The sequence below is a fragment of the Homo sapiens genome, chromosome 11 (genome assembly GCF_000001405.40).
Source record: "Homo sapiens chromosome 11, GRCh38.p14 Primary Assembly".
NCBI classification, from domain to species: domain Eukaryota; kingdom Metazoa; phylum Chordata; class Mammalia; order Primates; family Hominidae; genus Homo; species Homo sapiens.
This window is the reverse complement of record NC_000011.10, coordinates 104669461-104697264: the sequence shown is the minus strand read 5'-3', so window position 1 is coordinate 104697264 and position 27804 is coordinate 104669461. Positions and strand designations below refer to the sequence as shown.

The 27804-nt window shown below is 34.6% G+C and overlaps 1 long non-coding RNA gene across 1 annotated transcript; it reads right to left on the bottom strand.

The window, feature by feature from the left end:
• Positions 1-26129, bottom strand: LOC105369466 (uncharacterized). The gene is made up of 3 exons (XR_947965.3): positions 25947-26129; positions 3026-3115; positions 1-879 (listed from the first exon to the last, which is right to left on the bottom strand). It is a non-coding gene; the product is annotated as an uncharacterized LOC105369466 (long non-coding RNA).
• Between the last annotated feature and the right edge of the window lie 1675 nt (positions 26130-27804).

Genomic DNA, 27804 nt, shown 5'->3' with positions numbered 1-27804 from the left:
GTTAAAAATTGTCTATGTTCTAGGATGTGATGAAATAGACTCCACTGCTCGGTGGAGGAGTTGCAAGAACACATTGCAGAAAAGCATATAGGATGTTGAGGCCATCTTTGGGAAATACAATCTGTCACAGTAGGATTAAAGAAATTCTAATTGGAGAGAAGGCTATTAATGGTAAGGAGAGTTCAGTATGTTCAATAAACACTGAGTTGTTAGTAGTTGCAACAGAGAATATTGTTATCGAAGTAGTAGGGAATTAGATAGAGCTGATATCTTAATCCTAGAGCTTTGAAGACCACCTGAGAAGATAGGTTTAATTAAATAGACCAGTCAATTTCAGTAGTGGAATGATACGATCAGAAATTATCTTATCATTTTTGATATTTTTTCTAATGTTTAGACTATTCACTTGACTTAATGAAAGCAGTATGAGGGGACTAGTAGTTGGAGGCTAATAAGAGGCTATTGTGGTAATTCACATGAAGGGGTAGTTTGAAATGGCATTGAAGCAACAGAAATAGACAAGAGCAAACATTAAAGAACGCTTCAGATGTAGAGAAGAGAAGCGCCATGAACATCATAAGAAAGGGCTATAAAGAAACTCAAGGAAATCTTTCTGGCTGTAGGCAGGGCTGAAGAGATTATTATGTCTTTCCCTTAATTGTCTCCTGGAAATATATTTTAGAAGTTTTTCAAAAGGTTTCATTTAGGTTTACGTAATCCGCATTGTAATTGTTGAATGTCTGCACTTCCAAGAGGCATCAGAAGAGGGTCGCAATTGCAGATGTGAGATCATCTTTTTCTGGAGAAAGATCTACGTGTCCTCAAGGCAGAGAAGGCTAGGTCTCCCTGTAGGATTTTCTTCAGATCTACTGATTGACTCTGGTGAGAATGAAAGGGAAGTTGTATGTATAATATAAATATTTAAGTATAGTATTTATGTAACTATGTGTCATTTATCATTTTATTTCATCCACTAGTTGGTTTTCAAGTATATGTCTTTTATATTTCTCTATATTTCAATTTATGTCAACATTGCTAGTCTTAACAAAATCCCAAGCTTATATAAACTTTATATTTTTACTAGTGGTTAGCAGGGTGCTTGACACATAGTAAATACCCAATATTTCTGTTGAATAAGTAAGGGAATATGTGGCTGTTCAAATAATTTAAAGTCCTCTGTATCTTCTATGAAAGTTCTGCTTCATTATGTGTGTTAATATGGACACCAATCATACAGCCCTATTTGGATCTCTTATCTAATAATGCAGGAAATGGTATCAAGAGAAGTATATATGGAAGGATCATTATAATCATGACATCAACTTTTTGGTCCCCAGAATATTCTACTTACCTGTATCACCTCTTATGGCTAGATAAAGGAAAAAAACAAAACAAAACCCCAAACAACAGAAATCTCTAACTGCTACTTTAAAATTGGAGCTCCTCTTGGGGTAATAAATTTCCAAGTTGGCTACACAATGTATTAAAAAGTGTTTTGTTTTGTTTTGTTTTGTTTCAAACTTGTATTAGTTGTTTCAGGAGTGAGGGGTGAGTGGTGATGATGGAGAGTCCTTTTGAGATTATCATGATGTAGCCTTATTTCAATTCTGTTCCCTTTATTTCAAAACTTTTCAAAAGTAAAGATGGTAAAAGGGATACAGCCCTTTTATGAAGTATGGCAGCAGTTTCTCCAAAATCTGGCATCAAATAGAATGCCTACTTCATTTCCTCCCAATGACCCAGACGTATTTTTCTAGCTTCTGTCCAGCAACCCCAAAATGTATCAAGGTCCTTGCAAAAGTCTTTTTAGCCCATGAAAATTATTCTGTACTCTTTACATTAAATAGTGGGAGTTGTAGGATGTAGAAATTAACTTTATTTTCTCCCACTGGTCATTGAAACCCACTCTATAGGGATAGGGCAGGTCTCATAGTTTCTCTGGGATCTTTTGAATATTAAAAAGTCCTCCATTCACATTTCCTCATTCTGGTTTTTGAAATATCCATTCTTGTGTAATAGTAACCATGAGTTATGTAGAAACCTGATTAATATTGCCTTGGAAAACTATGACAATTAGTGAAATCTGACATCTTATCTTGCTTCTGACTTCCAAGCTTTCCTTGCCCATTCTTGGCATAGGCCAATCTAACTTTGTGAAGGATTTAGATTATAGTTTAACTTGAAAGCAAAAATGATAATAGTCTCCCCCTAAAACTAACTCCCTCCTTGCTCAGGGACTGAAAACCACCTTTGTAAGATTAAGAAAAGACCACAAGAATGAGATCATGGAAGGGACCCAAACTCTGCTAAAATGTTTCTGTAGTTTCTATAATCTCTTACTGCTCAGGAGTCATGTCGCCAAAGGTCACAAGATTTATGACTTCCTTAATTGCTTCTATTGATAACATCACTATTGTAACAGCCAAGTTTTTTTTTTAAATATTTTTCAGACTGACCCAACTCAGGCCCATGATTCATGACTCAACTGGTCCTGTGGCCTTACGCAGAGGCAGACTCAGCACATAAGGATTTTTTTCCATGCCCCTATGATTTCATTTCCAACCAATCAGCAGCATTCACTGCCTAGCCTCCTACCCATGAAATTGTACATAAAAACCCTGAGCTCAAAGACTTTGGGAAGACTGATTTGAGTAAAATGCCTGATTCTCCTGTGTGGCCAGTCTCGTGTCAATTAAACTCTCTACTACAATGCCATGGTGTCAATGCATCTTGTCTGTGCAGTGCGCAGAAAGAACCCACTGGCAATTACATTACCAGTAGCTATCGCTCTTCTGTCCTTCAAACAGGAAATACTTCAACCCTGGTAAGTCAATTAGGGTTTCTCATTCATTTGCGGAGCTCCTGGTGGCCTGGCCTGAGACTCTCTCTGCGGCTCCTGTAACTCAGTGGCCCTTTTCATTCTCAGAAACATTTTTCCTGAACCTGTGTGTTCCCTGCCTCAATCTGTATTGGCTAATTTCTAGGCCTGTTAAATAACTGTCAATCTTGACCCCATCATAATTACCATCTAGAAATGCCATTTGTCTCTCATTTTTGTCATATCTCCTGCTTCCTGGATTCTGGGAAGTTTATGCTTTGGGTGACAAATATCCATCTGAGAAAAAAAATACATGAAACTTCTTTAAATTCTTTACTCCATAATACTTGAATGCCATGCATATATAAAGACATAATTATTATTCTGTCATACTGGATTGTGAATCAGGCTAGATACAGTGGTTTTCAGTGACAGATTTGAAAAAAACAGCTGCAATATCTGCTACCTGCTGTTTGATTTTTTAAAAAGTTTCCTGTAAGGTATGTGTGTGTGTGTCTGTGCACATTTGTGTGTTTGTGTGTGTGTGTTTGAGGTGTGTGTGACTGATTGAATTTTGGAACTTTTTACGATCTTCCTTTTTCTCTACATAGTACTCTGAATTTTTTTTATTACATGCCTTGGTGTAGAAAACTTTTTACTTACTGTGCCAGACAGTTAGTGGCTTTTTCATTTGGAAACTCATATTCTGGAAAATTTTCCTCAGTCTTTAAAATTTTATTTTCCTCTCCAATTCACCCTTTCTTTCTCTTTCTGGATGTGCTCTTGGACAGGTATAAAATCCCCAAAATTTATACCTTATTTTCTTATTTTCTCTCTTATTTGTTATCTATTTTGTTTACTTGATACTCTATCGAGCCTTTCTTCTCAGAGTGCCTGAGACTGGCAACATTAGCATCATCTGCAAACTTGTTGGCAATGTACAGTTTCAGGTCCCACTCCAGAAATGTGCCTTTAATCAAATTCTCCAAGTGATTCTATGCACAATGCAATTTGAGAAGCATATCTCTAGAATTACTGTGCACTTGTGCTTCAGTCATTATGTTGAATTTTTAAATTTCTACTGTCATATTTTTAATGTCCCTATGATCCTTTTTTGGTCTCTGAATATTACTTTTTATAATAGCATTCTCTCCTTGTTTTATGAATAAAATATTTTCTCTCTCTGATGATATAATTACACCTTTTGCAGTTTTTTTCCCTACACATGTGTGTGATCTCTATTTCTCTAAATCGTTTCAGTCTTTTTATTTGTTTTGGTCTTAGTCATTCATGTTAGAGTTGTTTTTTTAATACCTGATCATTTTGACTGCTCATTTTAAAAGTGAGACACTAGAAAGATGTGTTTGTTGAACTGGAGATAAGGTAAGTACATGACCTTGTCTTATCTATCAATATAGAAAGGTTTATTTCTTTTAGATGAATCACTTTTTACAAAACTTATAAGCCTGACTATTATCAGCATCTTGATGAATTAGGGGAAGCAGCTGAGAGGTGATAACCATTCAGAATTCGAAATTTACTTAAGCCTGTTTGTATTCAGTAAATCTAAATACCCATATTGTCTGACTAGTATCCTTAAGCTCAATGACTATTGCATCAACACATATAAAGATTACCTATCACATTGGATTGCATACAGAAAATGTGGTACATATTCAACATGGAATACTACACAGCCATAAAAAGGACAAACTCATGTCCTTTGCAGCAACAAGGATGCAGCTGGAGGCCATGATTCTAAGTGAATTAATGTGGGAACAGAAAACCAAGTATCACATGTTCTCACTCGTAAGTGGAAGCTAAACATTGACTACATATGACCATTAAAAATGGCAGCAACGGACACTGGGGACAGGAAGAAAGAAGCGGGGCATGGGCTGAGAAACAACTTATTAGATACTATGCTCACTACCTGGGCGATGGGACCATCTTTATCCCAAACCTCAGTAGCATACAACATACACGTATAACAAACCTGCACATGTACCCTTTGAATCTAAAATAAAAGTTGAAATTATTATTTTATTTTCATTTTGATTATTATTATTATTTTTTGAGATGGAATTTCGCTCTTGTTGCCTAGGTTGGGGTGCAATGGCATGATCTCAACTCACTGCAAATTCCATCTCCCAGGATCAAGCAATTCTTCCTCAGCCTCCCAAGTGGCTGAGATTACTGGTGCCCAACACCATGCCTGTTTTTTTTTGTTTTTTTTTTTAATATATTTTTATCAGAGACAGGGTTTGACCATGTTACCCTGGCTGGTCTCGAACTCCTGACCTCAGGTGATCCGCCAACCTAGGCCTCCCAAAGGGCTGGGATTACAGGCGTGAGCCACCGCACCAAGTCAAAATTTTTTTTTGAAAAACTGACTCTCCCATCTGTTGGCATAGAGAAACAATAGAAAATGGTGGCTCTCCTGGCTGGTATGTGGGATCTGGCAGTTTAAATGCCTCATGTACAAATTTTTCTGGGTTTAGCATCATCTAATATCCTCACCTTGAAATGTATTATCTGCCATCAATTCTAAAATCTTTCTGAAGTTTTGGGAGGACAACTCAGCTTGCTTCTTATTAGTTTTGCTTCTGAGATACTTAATGTTCAGCTTTCTTAAATCTAATAAAGCAGTTTCTACCCATATCTCAGCTTTCCAAATTCAAAACTTTTGTTGATGAGTCTTGTATCTGGTATCTTCTCTCTATTCTCTCTTCCCATTTTTGACCTTGGGAATTTATATTTTCCTTTCCATCTACTGTCATTTTAGTGGAGTGTGTAATGAAATAAAATTTTTAAAATTGTGTGTTCTTTTTTACCAGGATGTCTATGTTATCTCACTTTATCTGTACAGCAATCCTGTCCTCCAGTGACTATATTGCAATGAGTTAAGAAGAGAGTTTCAGAAAGATAACATGCCTGGCCAAGGTATTAACAAGAAATAAAAGTAAAAATAAAAAACCTACTAAAGAGTATGTACTTGTAACAATATTTTCTGACATTGAGTTCCCTGGTATTTCTACTATATTATGTATTGCAGGGCTGAGTCACCAAACTACAGCCTACATTCCAAAAACGTCACACTGAGTGTTTTTGTCAATAAAGTTTTATTGAAACACAGTCATGCTTATTTGTGTATTAGTGGCTGTTTCCACACCATGATGGCAAGAGTTGGTAATTTTTTTTTTTTTTTTAACAGAGTCTTGCTCTGTCACCCAGGCTAGAGTGCAGTGTGATCTCGGCTCACTGCAGCCTTCACCTCTCAGGCTCATGTGATTCTCCTGCCTCAGCCTCATGAGTAGCCAGGATTGCAGGTGTGTGCCACCACCTCAACTAATTTTTGTATTTTTAGTAGAGATGAGGTTTCATCATGTTGGCCAGGCTCGTCTCGAACTCCTGGCCTCAAGTGACCCTCCCACCTTGTCCTCCCAAAGTGCTGGGATTATAGGCATGAGCCACCGTGCCCAGCCAGATGACCATTTTTCAAAGAGACTGCAATGCCTAAAGTATTTTCTCACCTATTCAGAAAAAGTTTGCCAGTCTCTACTTTAAATACTTTTATGGTGGCTACCTCGAATCACCCAATTCTACTAACCCTGTCCTCATCTTTGCACATAGTTCCACCTCTGGAAAATGTAAATCTCTTTATCTTACTGTACTGTAACTTTGTTTATGGAGAGCGTGTATGATTTAACCAGGTTTTAAAATAATCGTATAAGTCATATCATCTCTGACTTTTTATATCCCCCAACTTAGAGGCAATTTTTTTCACTTTGTAATTCATTTTGGTTCATAAAAATATTTATAACTATCTAGGCACCTGGTAGATTTTGGGGAAAGAATATTAGGACACTGTCTTTATTTACTTACTCTAAAATTGTAAGTACAATTGGTGACTTTATAATTTCACTACAAGCTCTATGAACACATCTGGATTTGGTCAGAGAGCACCACATGTCTTTGTTAAATAGAAGCATCTGCTATGTCTTTGTATCTTATTAAATCCTAATATTAGTAACACTGATCTGGTTAAACACGGAAATTTCAACATATTCTTAGGCTCTATCTCATTCATCTGATAACCCGTGTATGTGGATGTTTTCCTATTTCTGTACCCAAAAAACAAGTAAATCTGGAAGAGTAATCTGTTGGCACAAATAGGCAATTCTGCAGCATGAATATAGCCACTTTAATATTTTTATTATGTTTTAAATTCACGTCTCCATAAGTACAATTTTTTAATTTAAGACATGGATATAAGGGATTTTTATGTGTGTAGTGCAAACCACAAAAATCATAATATTCAGCATGATGGAATTTATTTACTGCTTGCCATCAAAGACATATTCTTTGGAAATAAACTAGCACATAATGAAACTTCATATTCCAAAATAAAAAATAAAAAGTGAAAATAGCCAGCAATTTAAGAATAAAATTGAAAAGAATTACCAAAATCATTGAAATAATTATTTTTGGTAGAATGCTACCAGAAAGATATTTAAGCGGATTTGGAAGGAATAGACAGATGGTACTATATATGGCATTATATAATTCAAAGATAGGATGATAGAGTCCCAAAATGCCTGAACCTGACAACAAAGAACCTGAATTTTATTCTATTCTCTGCGCTAATTGCTCTGTGACATTTGCTGTATTCTAGGCATCAACTTCATCATGAAAAGCTAGAACACAAAAATACAGAAACTAGTGGTTAAATCTGGTGGTTTTTTAAAATAGCTCATTCACATTTTAACACTCCACAATACAACTGGAATTTACTGATAGTTATCTCACATACAATGTATTAATAATTTTGCAAGTTTAGTGCACAAAGAAAATTCTCACTTCATACTCTAGTTTAAAAATGAGTGAGAACATTTTTCTCAGTCTAAAAATTTCTGATCAGATTTTGCCTAGTTCTGAACACCCTGAACATTAGTAAATCTATCAGGATGTTTTGTCTATGATTATGCTCCACTGAAATAAAATTGTATCTTCTAATACTTCTCCTGAAAATTCAGATAAGCCAGACATTCTGCATATTCTGCTCATCTTTGCATACCCACACCCTGTAAAGTAACAAGCCTAAGCAGCATTTAAATACTTAACACTTTCATGCTAAGTCTATGAAGAAACATTGAAATATAATATTAAAAAATGAAGCTCATCAAAACATCCCAGGACCATCATGTGAATTATCAGCACTTTGTTAAGATAACTCTACATATTTTAATAAGAGTTCTGCAATAACTGCCTATTACCAAGAAAATTAAATTTGAAAAATAGATAACATTTGGCAAGGGGATGATAGATTAAAAAACAATTACTAACTCACAAAAAGGAAGATGTTTATTACATCTTCAAGAGAATATTCGAGTATCTTCTCTTTTACTTACACACTGCTTAATGGGAACTAGAGAAAAGTAACTCTGATGGCAGGCTAATGTTGTAACATAGCCCTAGAAATATTTTCAGTTTCATCACGTCTCAAAGGGAATTTTTAGCAGAGCGCAATCCTTACATTTAAACTCCCAAGAAGAATAAAGAACATTTCCTAGGTGAAGTGAAATTAATGAGTCAGAAAACCCAGGAAGGAGCTACGACAAGTTCCCTTTTGAACAGAGACCTAAGGGAATGGCTCTGTGATTCTGAGATGCCAAGTAAATATAGTAAACTGAATACATTGAACCTAACTAGTAAACCAAACCTCCTTGTCTGAGACAAGGGTGTTCTGATGGGCAGCATATTATTAAATATCACATGTGTGTATTAAAATACATTGGAAATCAGTTTAAATTGTTGTGAAAATATATTTTTACAAAATTTTTGAGTGATACATTGTCCTTCCCAGATACTTAATTCATCCTAAATACCTGATTCTCAGCATCAGGCATTCATTTCCCCACCCCCGCCCCGCAAAAATAAAACTGGGCTGACTATTTTTGTGTGTTTAATTGTGTCCACCAAAAAGATATGTTGAAGTTGTAAATGTGACCCCCACACCTGTAAATTTGACTTTATTTAAAAATAGGATCTTTAGAGATGTAATTATGTTAAGATTAAGTCATAATCAATTAGGGTGATTCCTAATGCAATGATTGTTGCCCTCATAAAAAGAGAAAACAGATAAAGACACAGACTCACAGGTAGGATGCTGTGTAAAGACAGAGGAAGAGATGGAAATTACATGCAAGCAAGCTTAGAAATGGCAAGGATTGCCAGCCACTACCAGAAGCTAGGAAGAGGCAAAGAAAGATTTTACCAGACTCTCACAGGAAACATAGTCTTCCTGACACCTTGATATCAGACTTCTGGCCTCCAAACTGTGAGAGTATAAATTTCTATTGTTTTAAGTCACCCACTTGACAGTATTTTGTTATGGTGGCCCTAGGAACCTAATATAAATATGAAGATGCAGTTAGGAAAATTCACATTATCAAACCTGTTTTCCACATAACAATGTGTTTGATTAATAACGACTACCTTTACTGCAAAGAAAATAAGGTGACATATTTGAGTGGATCAAATCTTGAGAGTGATTTCTTTGATCTCATTTTTTTTTTCCTACCACATAAACAGTTGGTTTCTATAGAGAATATGGAAAAGCAAACTGCAAATAATCAGCTGTTTTCTTTTTTCTTTTTTTGGTCTAATAGGCAAGCATATTGACTAGTCTTATTTTAAGCCTAGGCCTTCCTGCCTGGAATATGCCTGGGTTTCATAGGTTAATCTATTTAGGAATTTCTTTCAGATTGTTTTTGTCTGCCTTCTGGAAAACATGAGTATAAAATGTTTCTGATTTCATGTGGGGACTAAAATTCATTATATGAAGAACTGTAAGGAAATTTTGGGTTGGTAAAAATTTTGCTGGCAGCAGGTTTAATACAAGTATTATGTTAGTCATGCTTGATTGCCTGTATATATAGCTAGATGCATTTAAATATCGATGTTCTGCAAATTTGAGATATTGAAATCCTTCTGAAAATCATTACCAAAACTAGGATGAGTGATACACACAGTATATAGTGAATGCATAAGAATAAATATGAATAAAATAGTAGAGTTGCTTGGCAGTCAAGCATCTGGAGCTCTGTTATTTGTGGAATATAATATTGGTGCCTTTAAACAACTTGGATTTTAAGATTGAAATTGGAATGAGGTTACTGGTTTTAAAGCTTTGATATTTCCAGGCTATTGCAAAAACTCCTGAACCTTTGAATGACAATGCAAAGAACAATTGCCTAGAGAATTAGTTAGCAAAGTAAACCCCACATAATTTACTGCATGGAGGGTGGGAGAGAATTAACATTTCCTAAATAATTATGACCAATATCATTGACTGATTAGTCACCAAATATAAGGACTATAATTTTCACGACACACATATTTTCTCCTCTAATTTAATCTCTGTAAGAACATAATGAGATATTTATTCAAACCCCTTACAGACAAAGAAGTGAGGCTGAAGACTGTCCCCAGTGCCTAAGATATAGTAGCGGTACAAGGAATGTTTGTGAATAGAGGAAAGGCTGAAAAGAAGGAAGTAAATAAAGGAAAGAGGAAAAAAGAAAGGACAAAGGAAAGAAAGAAAAGAAGATAGGGAGAGAGAAAGCAAGGAAGGTTTATTGTTATTAATTCTCAATATAATATTTCTACAAATTAAAGTTACAAGATTTAGAGTTAGGCAACTTCCCAAATGCTTTGTTCCTTTCACTCTAACACATTTATTCCATTGGTATTGTTTATATTTTTAAACATCCTACCAAAATTTATCCTTCTTATATGCTGAGAAAGAGATTCTCCCCTTTTTTTCAGGTATCAGATGAATACTAAGAGCAGAGGATGAATGTCGGTATCTGCCTTTGGCTATTTATATTTTATTCCCCAATTCTACAGCTATTTTTATATCAAAAAATGTAGCATGGAAATAGCAGGAAAATTGCGGAAGGAACTCAATAATATAAATGACAGAACTAACACAAAGGATAGTAGGTAAATAGAATTAATCCATTACAAGCTTTACACGAGGCAATACGATGTAACATCTTAGCAGAGTATGAAAAATTAAGGAAGTATATTTTAATCCTTAGAGCAACTATTTTAAAAGATAATGCAAAGAGGTATATTTGAAAAAACAATAGAGAAATTAAAATAAAATAATACAAATACATTCAGTTAATGAAAAAGAAGACACAAAAAGAATGCCAAATCCAAGATTATATGGGACCAATTTAAAATACTGGTATTTCAAATTATGCTTATCTACATTACATTAAATGTAAATTCATTTAGCACCCAAATTTAAAAGGAAACTTATTCCACCCTGGGTGACAGAGTGAACACTGTCTCAAAAAAAATAAATAAATAACATTATATTTTCTATGAGATGAATTTTAAACATGAATACAATTTCAGTTTAAAGTAAAAATAAGGAAAGAGATACACTAAGCAAATATTAAGAATAAAAATGTTGACATACCTATGTAGCATTTATCATTTCTCTTCTAGGGGAAGAAAACAGATTACCAATATCAGGAATGAAGAAGGATATATTACTGCAGTTCCTATTGTCTTAGAATAAAGAATGGCTTAAGTAATTTTATGTCAATGAATTTGACCACTAAAATTATATAAACAAATTATTTTTAAAACCAACTTAAAAAGATATAATAGTTGGCCTAGGCTTATGTATACAAACACACACACACAGACACACACACACACACACACACACACACTCACAAATATTAAATTATCAAAAACCTTCCCCAAAAGAAAACGCGAAGATCAGTTGGTTTTACTAGTGAATGCTAATATTTAAAAAACATACCAACTAGACATAATAATCTTTCATGTATATTCTTTCAGAATATGCAGATATAGGGGAGGAAAATAATTTTCCCTATACTCAGTTCTCAGCTGAAGCAGACCCCTCTAACAAAAGACAGATTAATAAGAGAAAAACAAATATGAGTGTAACATGTATATCTCATGTATACATGGGAGACAGCCAGAGAATGAGTAATTCTGAAAGAGATGACTTTGAATTAATGCTTATATAGCATCTTCAATAAAGAACAGTGCATTTTTTGAGAAATGACAAGGAGAAGGAAAAGGACTTTGGGTCTCTAAGGCATGGCAAATTGTGCGAAGGCAAATAAATAGTAGATAAAGTAGTGTTAGTAAAGTTTGTTATGTAGATTCCTCTGGTGTCACCTCCAGGGTGATAAGCTTCTAAAGTTGTCTTCAGGTTCAGTTTTTGTTCTTGGGAGAGAAGGCTGGAGGGACACCTTTGTCTTTGTAAATTTGTGTTCTGCTTTTAGTCAATTAGGAGACACCAGAGAGCTTTGCTTGTAATCTGCTTCTTTTCAATTGCCTTCAGCTTAAAATAACCCTCATACCAAGATGGCACAATGTGAGGTGGCATATTCTGGTCTGCACAGGAAAAAGGAAAACATCCTAACTGGTCTGGTATGACTGGCATAAGCTGGATATTGAAACTTGATAAGACATTATAAGAAATTAAAAATTTGGACCAAATTCTCTAAAAAATAGATCTAAACATTCTTAAGAAAATATTAATAACTACATGCAATAAATGCAATAGTATACAAGGGGTAGTTCAGCATTAGAAGGTAGAGTTTATAAGAATTCCAAAAAAATGCAAGTTTGTTTAACACAGAAAATCATTCAAAGTAAGTCAGACATTTACAGAATAAAAGTGAAGAACACATGATCAACTCAATAGAGGCAAAAAAAATGAATTTGACCAAATCCAGTACTCAAGATTAAAAAAGAAAAAAAAAAGATGAAAGAAGAAAAGGCCTGAGAAACTAGGCAGAATGAAGGAAGTTTGAGGTTCTATAAAGGGAATTAAAGAAGTACACCCAACAGAAGTAACCATTAGTGAAATATTGAACACACCCCACTAATGCCTGGAACAAAGTTAAGATGTTTGCACTCAGTGATTCTGTTCAGCATTGAACTTGGTCATTCTATCTACTGTAACTGGGCAAGAAAAAGAAATTAAAAGCTTAAAGTTTATTTAAGAAGAAATAAAATCTTGCTATGTACAAATGACAGGATTGATCATACAATAAATCCTAAGGAATATATAAAACAACTACTTGGGTCAATAAATGAATTCAGCATATCACAGGAAAAATCAATTTTATTTCTAATTACTAGCAGCAAATATATAAAAAGTAAAATTAATGTTATGCAAAATAGCTTCAAAAACAATCTAAAATTAATGAGATGTTCAAAATCTCTATACTGTGTAAATCATCAAAACAAAATAAAGAAGAAATAAATTAATGGAGAGATACTATATTTTTGGATCAGAATATTCAATATTGTTAAGATATCAATTTTCCCCCATCAATCTATAGATTCAAGATAATCTCAATTAAAATTATAGAAGGATTTTGTAACAAAAATTAACAGGTTGATTTAAATATTTGTGTGAAGGTGCAAAAAATTTAGAGTAGATAAAAAAACCTGGAACAAATTAATAAAAGTGGAGCACTTAGAATGTATGACTTTGCTTCATAATTAGAGAAGCAATAATAAAGAAAATGTTATATTGGCTTTAAGAGAGTAAAACTGATGAATTAAACAAAACTATGATTCTGAAATACACCAACATATATGTGGATATTTGATTGTTAGCAAAGGCATTCAGTCCACTGAATTATGAAAGAAAATTACTTTCAATAAATAGTGCTGGAACATCTGGATAGCCATAAGTGAAAAAGGAAAGGAAGGAAACCCTTGACCCTATCACATACCATACACAAAATTAATTTGAGATGGATCATAGATTTAAATATAAAAGCCAAAACAATAAAGATTCTAAAAGAAAACACAGAAGAATATTTTTGCTACTTTGGGTTAACAAATGTTTATTAGATAAGATACAGAAGCCAATAACTGAAAAAAATTGATAAAATTGACTTTGTCAAAATGAAAAACTTCTCATCTAAAGATATTAATAACAGACAAGGCAAAGACTTGGAGAGAATATTGTTCAGTCATATCTCAAAAAAACTTTAATCTAGAATATAAACTATTCCTACAATTTGGAAAAGAAATAAGAAAAAGACAAAGACTTGAACAAATACTGCACAAAGAAAGATATAAAAAATAGTCACTAATAAATAAAGAAGTTCTCAACATTATTAGTTTTCAGGGAAATTTAAATTAAAAGTACATGGTGCCACTGCACATACACTAGAAAAATTAAAATCAGGATTTCCATAATTACTGGTAATAGTATAAAATAATACAACCACTATGGGAAATGGTAGCTTCTTATAAATATTTATCTGATTATGACCCAATAATTACATGTATAGATACTTACACAGGGAAATACAAAATTGTTCACAAAAAACTTATATAAGACCAGGTGTAGGGGCTTACACCTGTAATTCCAGCAATTTGGGGCTGAGGTGGGAGGATCACTTGAGTATAGGATTTAAGACCAGCTTGGGCAACATAGACGGACTCTGTCTCTCAAAAAAAAAAAAAAAAAAAAATTAGCTGGGGATGGTAATGCATGCATGTGGTCCCAGTTACTCTACTTGGGAAGTTGAGGTGGGAGGATTGCTTGAGACTAGGAGGCTAAGGCTGCAGTGAGCCATGATTGTGCCACTGCACTCCAGCCTGGGCTACAGAGTAAAATCCTGTCTTAAAAAGGAAAAAAAAAAACTTATATACAATTCATGGCAGCTTAATTCACATTAACCAGCAAATATAAATGCCTATAAACATAGATAAAATAAACAAAAAATTAGTATATTCATTCTATGAAATACTATTCAGGAATAAAAAGAACAATGTACAATAAAACAGGAAAAAACTCCTGAAACACCAAAAGGTCCTAGTTTTGTAGAAGACATTAAAACAAAAATGCAAGCAAGTATATAGAAAAGGGTGGTTCTCTTCCCAAAGTGGAAGGCAAGTTCATCAATTATGTGAAGAATTGCTTCCAGATGACTGGGAATAGGAGGTTGTTCAAGATCTCTGGCAGTGGAGGAAGTCTCCTTAAGAAAATAGTTTAAACAATTTGTTAATTTTTTTCTGTCTTATTTCATTTCTACAACAGTAGATATCTGGCTGTCCTTTTTATAATGCGGAGTGAGAACTTTCCCTATAGTGTTTGATCAATATTGTCCAGGTTCCATTGCCAAGAATGTGTTGTCCAAAATGCCTGTTTAGCTTTTAAAAATGGAACTCCACCCTTTGCTTGGTTTTATGTCTGTATGGAATGTTATGATAAAATATAGTAGTAACAGTGGTCAGACATGGAAATGGTGGGGAGACAAAAATATACATGTGAAATAAAACTCAGTATTTTAATGAAGTAAAAAATGATGTACTGATATGTACAATTACATCAGTGAACCTCACAGTCAATATGTTGAATGAAAGAAGTTAGTCATAAAAGAACACATGTTATTTGATCTCATATATATAATATTCTAATATAGGCAAAACTACTCTATGATGGGAAATTAGAAGATTAATTACTTTTAGGAGGAAATGAGTCACAAAATATATAAGGCATCTTTCTGAGTGATAAAATTATTCTGTATTTTGGCAGGGATGTGGGCTACAGAGGTGCAATTTACCTCTAAACTCTAAAATTCTAACTAAAAAATTTACTGAATTATAAATTTAAGATGTGCATTTCACTGTATGTCAATTTTGCCTCATAAAACTAGTTGTATATAAATATTGATTTTTTTTAGCAAGTTTGTTTTTCACAGTGGTATGGGTTAGAAAAGCTAAACCCTGTGGGTAAATGGACAAATGCATTGAGAATAATGGAAGTCAATTTCCTCACTGTTGAGGAGGGAGAAATATTGAAATAGCAATGACTACAATGTACACACTCCTGTTGAATCAAAATTAGAACTATCACTATATATCATTACAAAATTATGGATATATAGGAAGGTATAAAATAACTCTAGATGTTAGTTCTCTCATATCAGAAGGCTCAGAAGCACACCCATAGTAATGAGCACACTTCGGAATCAGATATTGTTTCATACACACCATTCAACATGAAATAGAACCAAAGCTCCTTGAAGAAGTGCCTGATTCCAGGGCTGGGGAAGGAAAAGTTTTAGATGAGCCTGGATCATCTTATGCAAAAAAGTAAGGTAGTAAGATAGTGCACAAAGAATCCAGGGTCATGGCAAAAAGACACTGAAACCGTCTTGAAAGGACTGCCACCGAACAAATCTGGGATAATTTAGGCAATATAATAAGTAATGAGGTAATAAATTATAAACTGTTGAGTAAAATAAAAATCGAGTCCATACTGATATAAAAATTAATTAATTTATAGAGGGGAAGGGAAAGCTCTTCCTTATAATAGGATGTCAACTAATAAATATAGAAAAAACAGTGGAATTTAAAATATGTCAATTGATGCTGAAACTTGTACCAGGAAATTTGATGAGAATCAGAAATTTCTATTACATCAAAACATCTTCCCACATTTTTGTTAGTGTGGTAATATCATTATAACTAAAATGACCAAAGCTAGCATGGCCGATATTGGGATGAACTGACACCATGCTCCTGATATGAGTTTTCCTCATAATCTAATTACGATAAGCAACTCTAAACTAAGGAATATTCTTCCAAAAAGAAAATAAAAGACATTCTTCTAAAAGTTCAGATCAAGGAACAAAAACAAAGTTCAAGAATTTCTCCAGATGTAAAAGCACTAAAGACAATGAAATCCTCATTGTGATCATGGGTTGGAGCCCAGTAACAAATTCCTGTTACTCCTCCTTTTGAACCTTTACTCTATATTTTTATTTTCTATTGATACTTTTTGTTTACATCTATATTTTAGATGACTTCTAGACTTAAAAAGATAATAGCCAATAACTTGAATATATTGTTTCTCTGAATGGCCTTTTTTTTTTTTTTGATACCTCCTGTGTTCAGCACTGTAACCTCCTCACTCCCAAATAAGTAGTTTTTGAGCCATTGTGTTTGCTAGGTGCCAGCATGATTTCGTGTTTTAACTGATGTAATAGTCACCATACATCTTATAGAAAGAAAAGTCAAGCTATAAACACATTATTGTGAGAACCAATAAAATTTGCATATGGAATGTTTAGATTCCTAATTTTGATAACTGTTCTTTAGTTTTATAAAGGGTGTCTCTTTAACCTTAGGAAATAGATGCAAAAGTATTTGCATCTAAATGTAAGGGCCGTTATGTCTCCAACTTCCTCTTACTCTGAAATTGTTTTTAAAATTCTTATATATACATGTTTTGTGTGAAATAAAAGAGAAAAAGAGAAGGAAAACAAATGACGAAAGGTAAATCGTTGGTGAATCTAGGCAGGTATATAGGAATTTCTTGTTTCATTCCCATAACTTCTCTATAATTTTGAAATATCAAATTAGAAAGAAAGAAAGAAAAAACTTAGAAGACTCCTACAAAAGTGGATGGTAAGTTTAAGGCTACAACTGGCTGACAGATGGGGCTGGTTCCTCCGGAGAATGGATTTTTATAGAAGGGCTATTTTTTTTTGTAGAGCAGTTACTTCTGTGCGATCCAATCAAAGCAGTTTTAAGGAAGCTTATAATGAGGATCCCAAAGCTACCTGGAATTACATTCCTAATAACTACAAATTGACTTTCACTGCAAATAGAAGAAGCTTTCATTCAAAGAGCTGCTCCAAAGCAACTCTTCACACCCAGCTGACTATCCCACAGCCTACTTTTCTAAAATAATTAGATTATTTGCAAGCTTAGCTCTGTTATTTGCCCCCAAATTATCCATATGTCTATATTATATTCAAAACACTCTGAGCCATCAGCTATCCTAAATTTTTTCCTGTTTCAGAAAAAAAAAGCTGTTTATTTTTCCAAATTCAACTTCCATCCTTCCAAGAGCAATTATTTTCCTGGGCCATCCATCTCATACTGCCAGGCCTCCTCAATAAAGATTGCATTCTGTTTCATCACCCACAAATTCCTGTTACTCCTCCTTTCAAATCTTTACTCTACTTTTTATTTTCTATTGATATTTTTTCTATTTGTTTACAGTTATATTTTAGATGACATCTATACTTTAAAAAAATAGCCAATAAAAAAAGTTCGCTTGAATATATGGTTTCTTTAAATGGGCGTTTTTTTTTGTTTTTTTTTTGTACCTCCTCTTTTCAGCATTGTAACCTCCTCACTCTCAAATAAGTAGTTTACAATCCATTAGGTTTGCTAGGTGCCAGCATGATTTCCTGTTTTAATTGATTTCATAGTCACCATTCATCTTATAGTTTGATGCTGCCAATTAACCTCATTTTACAGAGGAGAAATTTAAAGAAACTTAAAGACATTCATTTGTCCAAAGTCATGTAGTTAATTAGTGGGGGAGGTGGGTTTTGAATCAGGGTGTTTGACCCCAGAACATACTGTGTTATTCAGTATATTATGTTCTGCAACACTGAATTATTATATCAGCATTCAATCTGATTTCTTTCCTCGGTGCCAACTTGAGAAAAACTCTCTTGAAGTTGACCATGGCTTTTCTCAGTGTCTTCAGGGCTTGCCATTGTTAAGAAACAGCATAGCATTGTAGTTTTAAAGCTTAGCCACTATAGCAGGAAAAAAAATGAGTTTGAATCATAACTGTGCTACTTCCTAGTTGTGTGATTTTATCATTCACCATCCTAAGCCAGGTCTTTTAACTGTATTAAATGGAAGTCAGAGTACAATCGACTTCACATAGTTTCCTTTAAGATTTAAATTAAATGCCCTCATGCATTAGAGAGCATTTATCACAGTGCTTAACATTGTTAAGTTGGCCACACCTACATTTCAATAAATGGTAGCAATGATTCATTAGCAGACTTCCCTTGCTTTCCATACACTAGCTTGGCTCATGTACTTCTTCACCATTTCTATATGACTCCCACGCCCTTTCTACTCTTTCAATCTTCAAAATCACCTTTGTCTCTCTACATATATTTTCTTACATTTATTTGTCTAGAAATACTGCTGCAATTATCACATTATTGTAGGTGACTCTGAATCAGTTTCTTGGTCTCTGAATCCTCTCTAATATTCAGAATTAATTAACCATTTCCACTAATTCAAATGTTCAAATGTTGCTAGTAAAAAACAAAAAACAAAAACAAACAACAACAACAACAACAAAAAACTTGGCAGCCTCCAAAATGACACATGAATTATCTGATAAATTGTTTTGGTACTCCCACACCCATCTACCTCTTGGTTCTTTGCCCATCTTCTTACACATCATTTTGAATTGTCCTTTCATCTACATCCCCATTAGAAAGATCAATGAAAATATGACCAGTGCAGCATGATGCTAACTTTTGCAGTAGACTGGGCATGTCAAAATTATAGGCAGTAATCAATCTCAGGCACATATGAGTTAGGAATGTAAGGGGTACAGGGTTTCAGGAAGGCCGTTCTAAATATGGAGAATGATTAATTTTCTTTGGGCACATACTCCGTAATGGACTGCTGGGGCAAATAGTAGTTCTCTTTTAAGTTCTTTGAGAAATCTCCAAACTGGTTTCCATAGTGGCTAGACTAATTTACCTTGCCATCAACAATGTATAAGCGTTCCCTTTTCTTCACAACCTCACCAGCACCTGTTATGGTTTGACTTAAAAATTTTTTTAAGTTTTTTATTTTTTTGAGATGGAGTCTTACTCACTCTGTTGCCCAGACTGGAGTGCAGTGGCACAGTCTCTGCTCACTGCAAGCTCTGCTCCCAGCTTCAAGTGTTTCTCCTGCCTCAGCCTCCCGAGTAGCTGGGATTACAGGTGTGCACCACCATGCCTGGCTAATGTTGGTATTTTTAGTAGAGACCGGATTTCACTATGTTGGCCAGGCTGGTCTTGAACTCCTGATTTCAAGTGATCCACCTGCCTCGCCCTCCCAAAGTGTTGGGTTTACAGGCGTGAGCCACCATGCCCAGCCTGCTTGACTTTTTCTTTTTTTTTTTTTTTTTTTTTTTTTAGACACCAAAGAATTTGTTGTGTTTATTTCAATTTATATGAAGTTTTAAGACAGGAAAAGCAAAAGCATATAGTATAGAGGGGTACATTTGTAGGTGATAAAACTTGAAAGCAAAGTGAGGAAGTGCTCACCATCTGAGGCAGAATAGTGGCTTCCTTGACCAGGGGCGTTGCAGGGAGGGAGGGAAAGAGGCATGAGTAAGGCTTCCGGCCAGGGAGCTGGCCATGTTCTATTTCCAGATTGTGGTGGTAATTAGGTTGGTATTTGCTTCAAATGATTAGTTAAGGTGAATATTTGTTTCATATGTTTTTCTGCATGAATATTATATTTAATAATAATAATCTTTTGAAAAGAAAAAAAGTACCCTCCAATTTTGACCCAGTGGCCTATATATTCTTTCCCAAGGCAGCTACAGATAGTCTGTCCATACAAACACGTGCACTCATTCACAGGCACACACACACACACACACACACACACACACACACACACCCCAACACCCGTATATCCATTTTTAAACTGAAATATTAGCATACAAAATTTCCAGCACTTGCTTTTCTCACACTACCTGACTTCAAACTATACTACAAGGCTACAGTAACCAAAACAGCATGGTACTGGTACCAAAACAGAGATATAGATCAATGGAACAGAACAGAGCCCTCAGAAATAATGCCACATATCTACAACTATCTGATCTTTGACAAACCTGAGAAAAACAAGCAATGGGGAAAGGATTCCCTATTTAATAAATGGTGCTGGGAAAACTGGCTAGCCATATGTAGAAAGCTGAAACTGGATCCCTTCCTTACACCTTATACAAAAATCAATTCAAGATGGATTAAAGATTTAAACGTTAGACCTAAAACCATAAAAACCCTAGAAGAAAACCTAGGCATTACCATTCAGGACATAGGCGTGGGCAAGGACTTCATGTCCAAAACACCAAAAGCAATGGCAACAAAAGCCAAAATTGACAAATGGGATCTAATTAAACTAAAGAGCTTCTGCACAGCAAAAGAAACTACCATCAGAGTGAACAGGCAACCTACAACATGGGAAAAAATTTTCGCAACCTACTCATCTGACAAAGGGCTAATATCCAGAATCTACAATGAACTCAAACAAATTTACAAGAAAAAAACAAACAACCCCATCAAAAAGTGGGCGAAGGACATGAACAGACACTTCTCAAAAGAAGACATTTATGCAGCCAAAAAACACATGAAGAAATGCTCATCATCACTGGCCATCAGAGAAATGCAAATCAAAACCACTATGAGATATCATCTCACACCAGTTAGAATGGCAATCATTAAAAAGTCAGGAAACAACAGGTGCTGGAGAGGATGTGGAGAAATAGGAACACTTTTACACTGTTGGTGGGACTGTAAACTAGTTCAACCATTGTGGAAGTCAGTGTGGCGATTCCTCAGGGATCTAGAACTAGAAATACCATTTGACCCAGCCATCCCATTACTGGGTATATACCCAAAGGACTATAAATCATGCTGCTATAAAGACACATGCACACGTATGTTTATTGCGGCACTATTCACAATAGCAAAGACTTGGAACCAACCCAAATGTCCAACAATGATAGACTGGATTAAGAAAATGTGGCACATATACACCGTGGAATACTATGCAGCCATAAAAAATGATGAGTTCATGTCCTTTGTAGGGACATGGATGAAATTGGAAACCATCATTCTCAGTAAACTATCGCAAGAACAAAAAACCAAACACCGCATATTCTCACTCATAGGTGGGAATTGAACAATGAGATCACTTGGACACAGGAAGGGGAATATCACACTCTGGGGACTGTGGTGGGGTCGGGGGAGGGGGGAGGGATAGCATTGGGAGATATACCTAATGCTAGATGACACGTTAGTGGGTGCAGCGCACCAGCATGGCACATGTATACATATGTTGACTTTTTCATAATAGCCATTTTGTCTGGTGTGAGATGGTATCTCACTGTGGTTTTGATTTGCGTTGCTCTGATGATTAGTGATGACTATTTTTTCTTATGTTTGTTGGCCGCTTATATGTTTTCTTTTGAGAAGTATCTGTTCATGTCCTTTGCCCATTTTTTAAGGGGAGTATTTGATTTTTGCTTGTTGATTTGTTTAAGTTCCTTATAGATTCTGTATATTAAACCTTCGTCAGATGCAGTTTGCTAGTATTTTCTTCCATTCTGTAGGTTGTCTGTATACTCTGTTGACAGTTTATTATGCTGTGCAGAAGCCATTCACTGTAAAGACACATGCACTTGTATGTTCATCACTGTGTGACTCACAATAACAAAGACATGGAATCAACTTAGGTGGCCATCAATGGTGGATTGGATAAAGAAAATGTGATACATACACACCATGGAATACTATGCAGCCATAAAAGAGAACAAAATCTTTTGTAGACGTGTTTCTTTGCAGCAACATGGATGTAGCTGGAAAGCCTTTGCTTTCCAAGTAATTTATGCATTTTATCAAAATTGTCAAATTTTCTGGAATGCAATTCTTTACAACTTTCACTTAGTATAATTTTTGAAATTTTAATGTTTGTGGGTACATAGTACATACATTTATGGAGTAGACATGATGTTTTGATAAAGGCATGCAATGTGAAATAAGCACATTATGGAGAATAGGATATCCGTCACCTCAAGCATTTATCCTTTGAGTTACAAACAATTCAATTACACTCTTGCTTAGCATAATTTTAATGTCAGTAGTGACATTTTATTTTCATTACTAATAATGTTTGTTTTGCCTTCTCTTTTTTCAGTTTGGCTGCAAATGTATAAGGGTCACTGCTCCTATCAGAACCTACTTTTTGTTTTATTGATTTGCTCTATTGTTTTTTATTTTCTATTTCATTGATTCTTGCATTTAACTGTATTTTTTTTTCTTAACACTTGCTTGGCATTTAGGTTTCACTTCTTTTCTACTTTCTCATGGTGAAAGACTAGATCACTGAGATCTTTCTTGTTTTCTGATATAGAATGTAATGGTATATTTCCTTCTTGGCACTGTTTTGAGTATGTGCTGTAATTTTTTTTATATGTTTCATTTTCAATATAATTGAATCTAAAATATTTTCTATTTTCCCTTTTGATTTTCTCTATGACTCACAGGCTATGTAAAAATGTTGTTTAATTTTCAAATATTTGAGAGTTATCAATGTATGTTTTTATTAATTCCTATCTTAATTCCATTTTGCTCACAAAAGTACTTTACATGATTTTGATTCTTTATACTTTGTGAAAATTTATTTTATGGACAAGGATATGGCCCGTCTAAATGAATATTCCATGTGTGCTTAGAAAGAATATATTTTCTGCTGTTTAGGGTGAACTATTCTATAAATGTCAATTAGGTCAAGGCATTTCATAGTATTGTTTGGTCTTCTGTATTCTCAGTGATTTTTCTCTTTGTCTGTTTTATTAACTGTTGAGAAATTAATGCTGAAATATACAACAGTAATTGAGGGCTTGTAGATTTTTTCTGTCAGTTCTAATAGTTTTGCTGCATGCACTTTGATGTGTGATTGCTACATGCACAGATATTTAGGGTTGTTATATAATTCTTAGTAAATTAATTTCTTTATTATTATGTACCATAACTTTTCTGCTTGGTAGAATTCCTTCTTCCAAAGTCTACTTGGTTCAATATTAATATTTTGCAAGGTATATCTTTCCTCATTATTTTACCTTTCACCTGTCTTTATATTTAAAATATTTAAAGCACATTTCTTATCATTAGCATACAATTGTTTCTTTTTTATTTTAAAAAATTATCTTTTGATGATACTGAATACCATTTACATTTAATATAATTGATGTAATTTTTATTAAAATGCACTACACTCCTAGTTGCTTGATATTTGTTCCTTCTGACCTTTGCTTTTTTCTTCAATTTTTTTTATGATTTGTGATTAACATAAATTTATTAGTGATTCCATTTTATGTCCACTCTTAGCTTATTTGTTATACCACATTTTCCTTTTTTTTTTTAAATTTTAGTGATTGCTCTGTGGTATCCAATAAACATATGTAACTTACCACAAGTTCATTCTGTCTGAAGAAATACGTTGAATATTTCTTATGGTGTATTACATTTTCTCAGCTCTTGTTTGTCTGAATAAATTTAAATTTCCACTTTAATGTTTCAAAGATATCTTCACTGGTATAGAATTCTAGGTTAACAGGTTTTGCTTATTTGTTTGTATTGTGTGTTTGCTTTTTCCTTTCAACAGTTTAAAGGTGTCACTCCATTGTCTTCTGTCTTGCATAGTTTCTGACAAATAGTCTGTTATAATTTTGAATTGGTAGTGTCTATTGTCTGGCTGCCTTCTCAGCATTGTTTTATAGATCCATACACTGTGGCCAATTTTAATAAGCTTTTCTCTTTGTATTTCAACTTGGTTAATTAAAAAAATATTTCTTCAAGCTTGCTAATTTCTTCTTTGATTCTGTTGAATCTACTCATGAGACTAAGGGTTTTTGCATCTGTGATCTTTTTTATTTATTATATTAAAATTTTACCTAGTCAAATTGTTTCTATTATCATACAGAACTTCTCAATCTATACATATATGCTGTCCATTTTTTAACTAAATCCTTTAAAAATATTAACTATAGGGAGTATAAAATTCCTATTTCAATGTAGCCACTATAATATACTCCCTGAGTTTTTTTGAATTCTTTCTCTATAAAAAATGGTTATTTTATCTTCCTTTATTTGAATTTTATAATTTTTGAAATCAAATACCTTATATAATGTGTAGAAGAATACAGACTGAAGCAAACAGTATTAACACCTGCAAATACTATTCTATATGCAGTTTGTAGGAGTGTTAAGTCAATCTTGTCAGGATTTGAGCTGAGTTTGGGTTTGTGATTGCTATGGTTACCTTCACTGCAATGTAGGCTTCAAATTTCACTAAAGATTTTCTTGCACTGGGAGCTGGGGAGCTAATAGGTTTGGGTTTTTTGTGGTCCACCTTCAGCTTTTAGCTAGCCCTGAACATCTGTGCCACATAGGATTCTCTCTTGAAGCTCTGTCCCTCCAAGAGCAATAGATTCCATTTACTATGTAATAAAAGCTTGGAAGGTTAGTGGTGAGAGGCTGAAGAGGTCTGTGTGTTATTGTCCAACCACAATCTTAAATGAGCTACATGTGTCTGGGTCTTAGAATTAGGGAATTTTTGGAATTCTTGCTGCTTTTCCCTAAGGCAGGCAAATCTTGTTTTGTATCTATGGTGGAGCTTTTCTGAAAGAGTTTTCTATTTCTCCCCAGTAGGAGAGCTCAAACTGTCTTTCTGAGGTGAGAGGGGTTCTTTATCCTACCTTTTCCTCAGCAGCAATACCTATTTTTCCCCTGTATATGACATGGTTTTATGCCCCTCACTTAGTTCCATATGAGAGAATACAACGTGCAAGGGGTGGGGTTTCATGCTTTTCCTGAAATACAGACTGGTCCCTCCTGTATCTATCAGGGTTCAAACAGAGAAATAGAACCACAAATACATAAATCCAGATTCATTACAGGAATGTGACCTTAATCCATTGTGGGAGATTTTGTCTTTGCATCAAATGCTGGAGCTGGAAATCTATCAGCCAAGCAGTTGGGAAGGGAAGACGGATGAAAAGTAGAGAGATCAAGAACATGTTGGAATCCCAACCACAGTCCAGAGTCTCAATAGGATAAACTAAAACCCTGTCCATTTTTGTTGCTTTTGAACTTGATGATTTGAGTGTCCTACAGAAGCTGGGCCATTCTTCCCAAAGCTAAGTACACACCTAGCCCAGGGTCAGAGAAGCTGAAGGATGCAGGGAAAAATAAGGAAACTTCCTGCTGCAAAGGTAAATTAGCCTAATAATAATGTGGGTGAGCTGCAAAACGACTGCTGACTTTCTTCCTCTCTCTTAGTCTCCTAATAATACCTCTTGCCACCCTCTTTAACTGGAAACAGTAACAGTAATTCAAGGAAATGTAATTTACTCTGGCCAAGGTGATACAATATAAAGCCTCCACATCCTCTTCTACTTCTGCACCTCTCTGATCTCCCACCTTACCTTTAGTCTTATTATGTGTACTCAGTGTCGTTTCTCAGGGTCATAAAAAAGAGTCTGGAAGTAAGTATAAACAACACTTGTGTTAGGAAATCCCAGGAATTCTATACTGCCATGCTAGCTCACACTGGCTTTGTGATTCTGTAACTCATATAGGTTTCTCTCTTTATGAGGTTGAGAGTGGTACTGTTTCAAAATTCCTATAAGCTAGACAGAAGCAGAATATCCAGTCTCCAGATACTGTCTCACTAGTTCCCAAATTCAACTGTTTTGGATATGGTGTCAAATTATTTAAAATATATTTTCTTCTCCTTTTTATGTCTCCCATGTAGGGGCTCCCTGAGTATCTTTTCTATTGGATACAAATTTGGGTTTGAAACACTTATCAAGTGGTGTAAGATTTAAACCTGCCTATTTTTAAATAAAGAATCTTGTCATATATAAGAGGGTGTGGTAAAGACTTGAATTAACGACAGTTCAACAATTCCTATAAGGAAAAACACGGATGGTAGTTTAAGTTGAATACAAATTCAACTGATGTGACTGTGAAAATAAATCAATGTTTGTTCCAGTCACCTCAACAGAAGAATATTGTCAGGAATAGATATTGACAATGGGGAATGAGTTAAAGAACAAGTAAACAGGAGGTCTAAAAACAATGCCTTAGGAAAAATAATTATGGTAATTAAGAATATTATACTTGGAGAAAAAGAGGCTTGGGAGAATCTCAAATTTATGACGCTTGTCATAAGGAAGACAATCTGTTCCGTCTAACCCCATGGGAGAGAAAAATGACTAAAGGATAGTATTTACAATGAGGTGAATGTTGATTCAGTATCAGAACTAAAAATATCAATTAAAATAGGCTAACTTGTGAAATAGTGCAATACCACTGGAAATGTTCCGGCAAAATTTGAATGCTTCCGGCTTCAGTTATTCAGCCTGGAGTAGGATAGCAGCTTAATAGATATTTATGTGAGAATCACCTGGAAAATGTTTTAGAAATACACAAACCTGAATCCTTAATAAGAGATACTGATTTAAATAAGTCTAGGGAGGCTACCAAAAACTGTATCTTAAAATTTGTGAAGAGATTCTGACAGCCTTTCCATGAGAATCTCTGGAATGTGGAGCTAGGAGAAATAGATAAGAAACGGGTTTGTGGTTCTAAAATCTGCCTTCACAATAGGATAAATGAGAAAGTTAATCAAATATACTGTCAGGGCTTTATATCCCAGAGATTCTGATTTAACAGAGGTAGAATTGGGCTTGGGCATCAATATATTATTATTATTATTATTTTTGAGATGGAGTTTTGCTCTTGTTGCCCAGGCTGGAGTGCAATGGCACGATCTCAGATCTCTGCAACCTCCACCTCCCAGATTCAAGTGATTCTTCTGCCCTAGCCTCCTAAGTAGCTGGGATTACAGGCACCTGCCACCATGCTCGGCTAAATTTTTTGTATTTTTAGTAGAGACGGGGTTTCACCATGTTGGTCAGGCTGGTCCCAAACTTCTGACCTCAGGTAATCCACCCGTCTCAGCCTCCCAAAGTGCTAGGATTACAGGCATGACCAACCATGCCTGGTGGGCATCAGTATTTTTTAAAATCTTTCTAGATGAATCTAAAATACTGCCAAGGTCAAGAATCAGCAGACCAAATGATCTCCAGGACCAAATAAAACTCTCTATTTCAAGTATCTTTTAAGTAGACTGAATTTTTGTCTTTAAAATCCAGAGATATAATATAACTGCATTCGAGTCAACACATTCTTCTTCTGAGGTTGGTAAGCATAAAGGTAAATCAATAAAACCATCTTGCTTTGACCCATTTTCTGCAGTTGTCCTTTTCCAAAATTGCT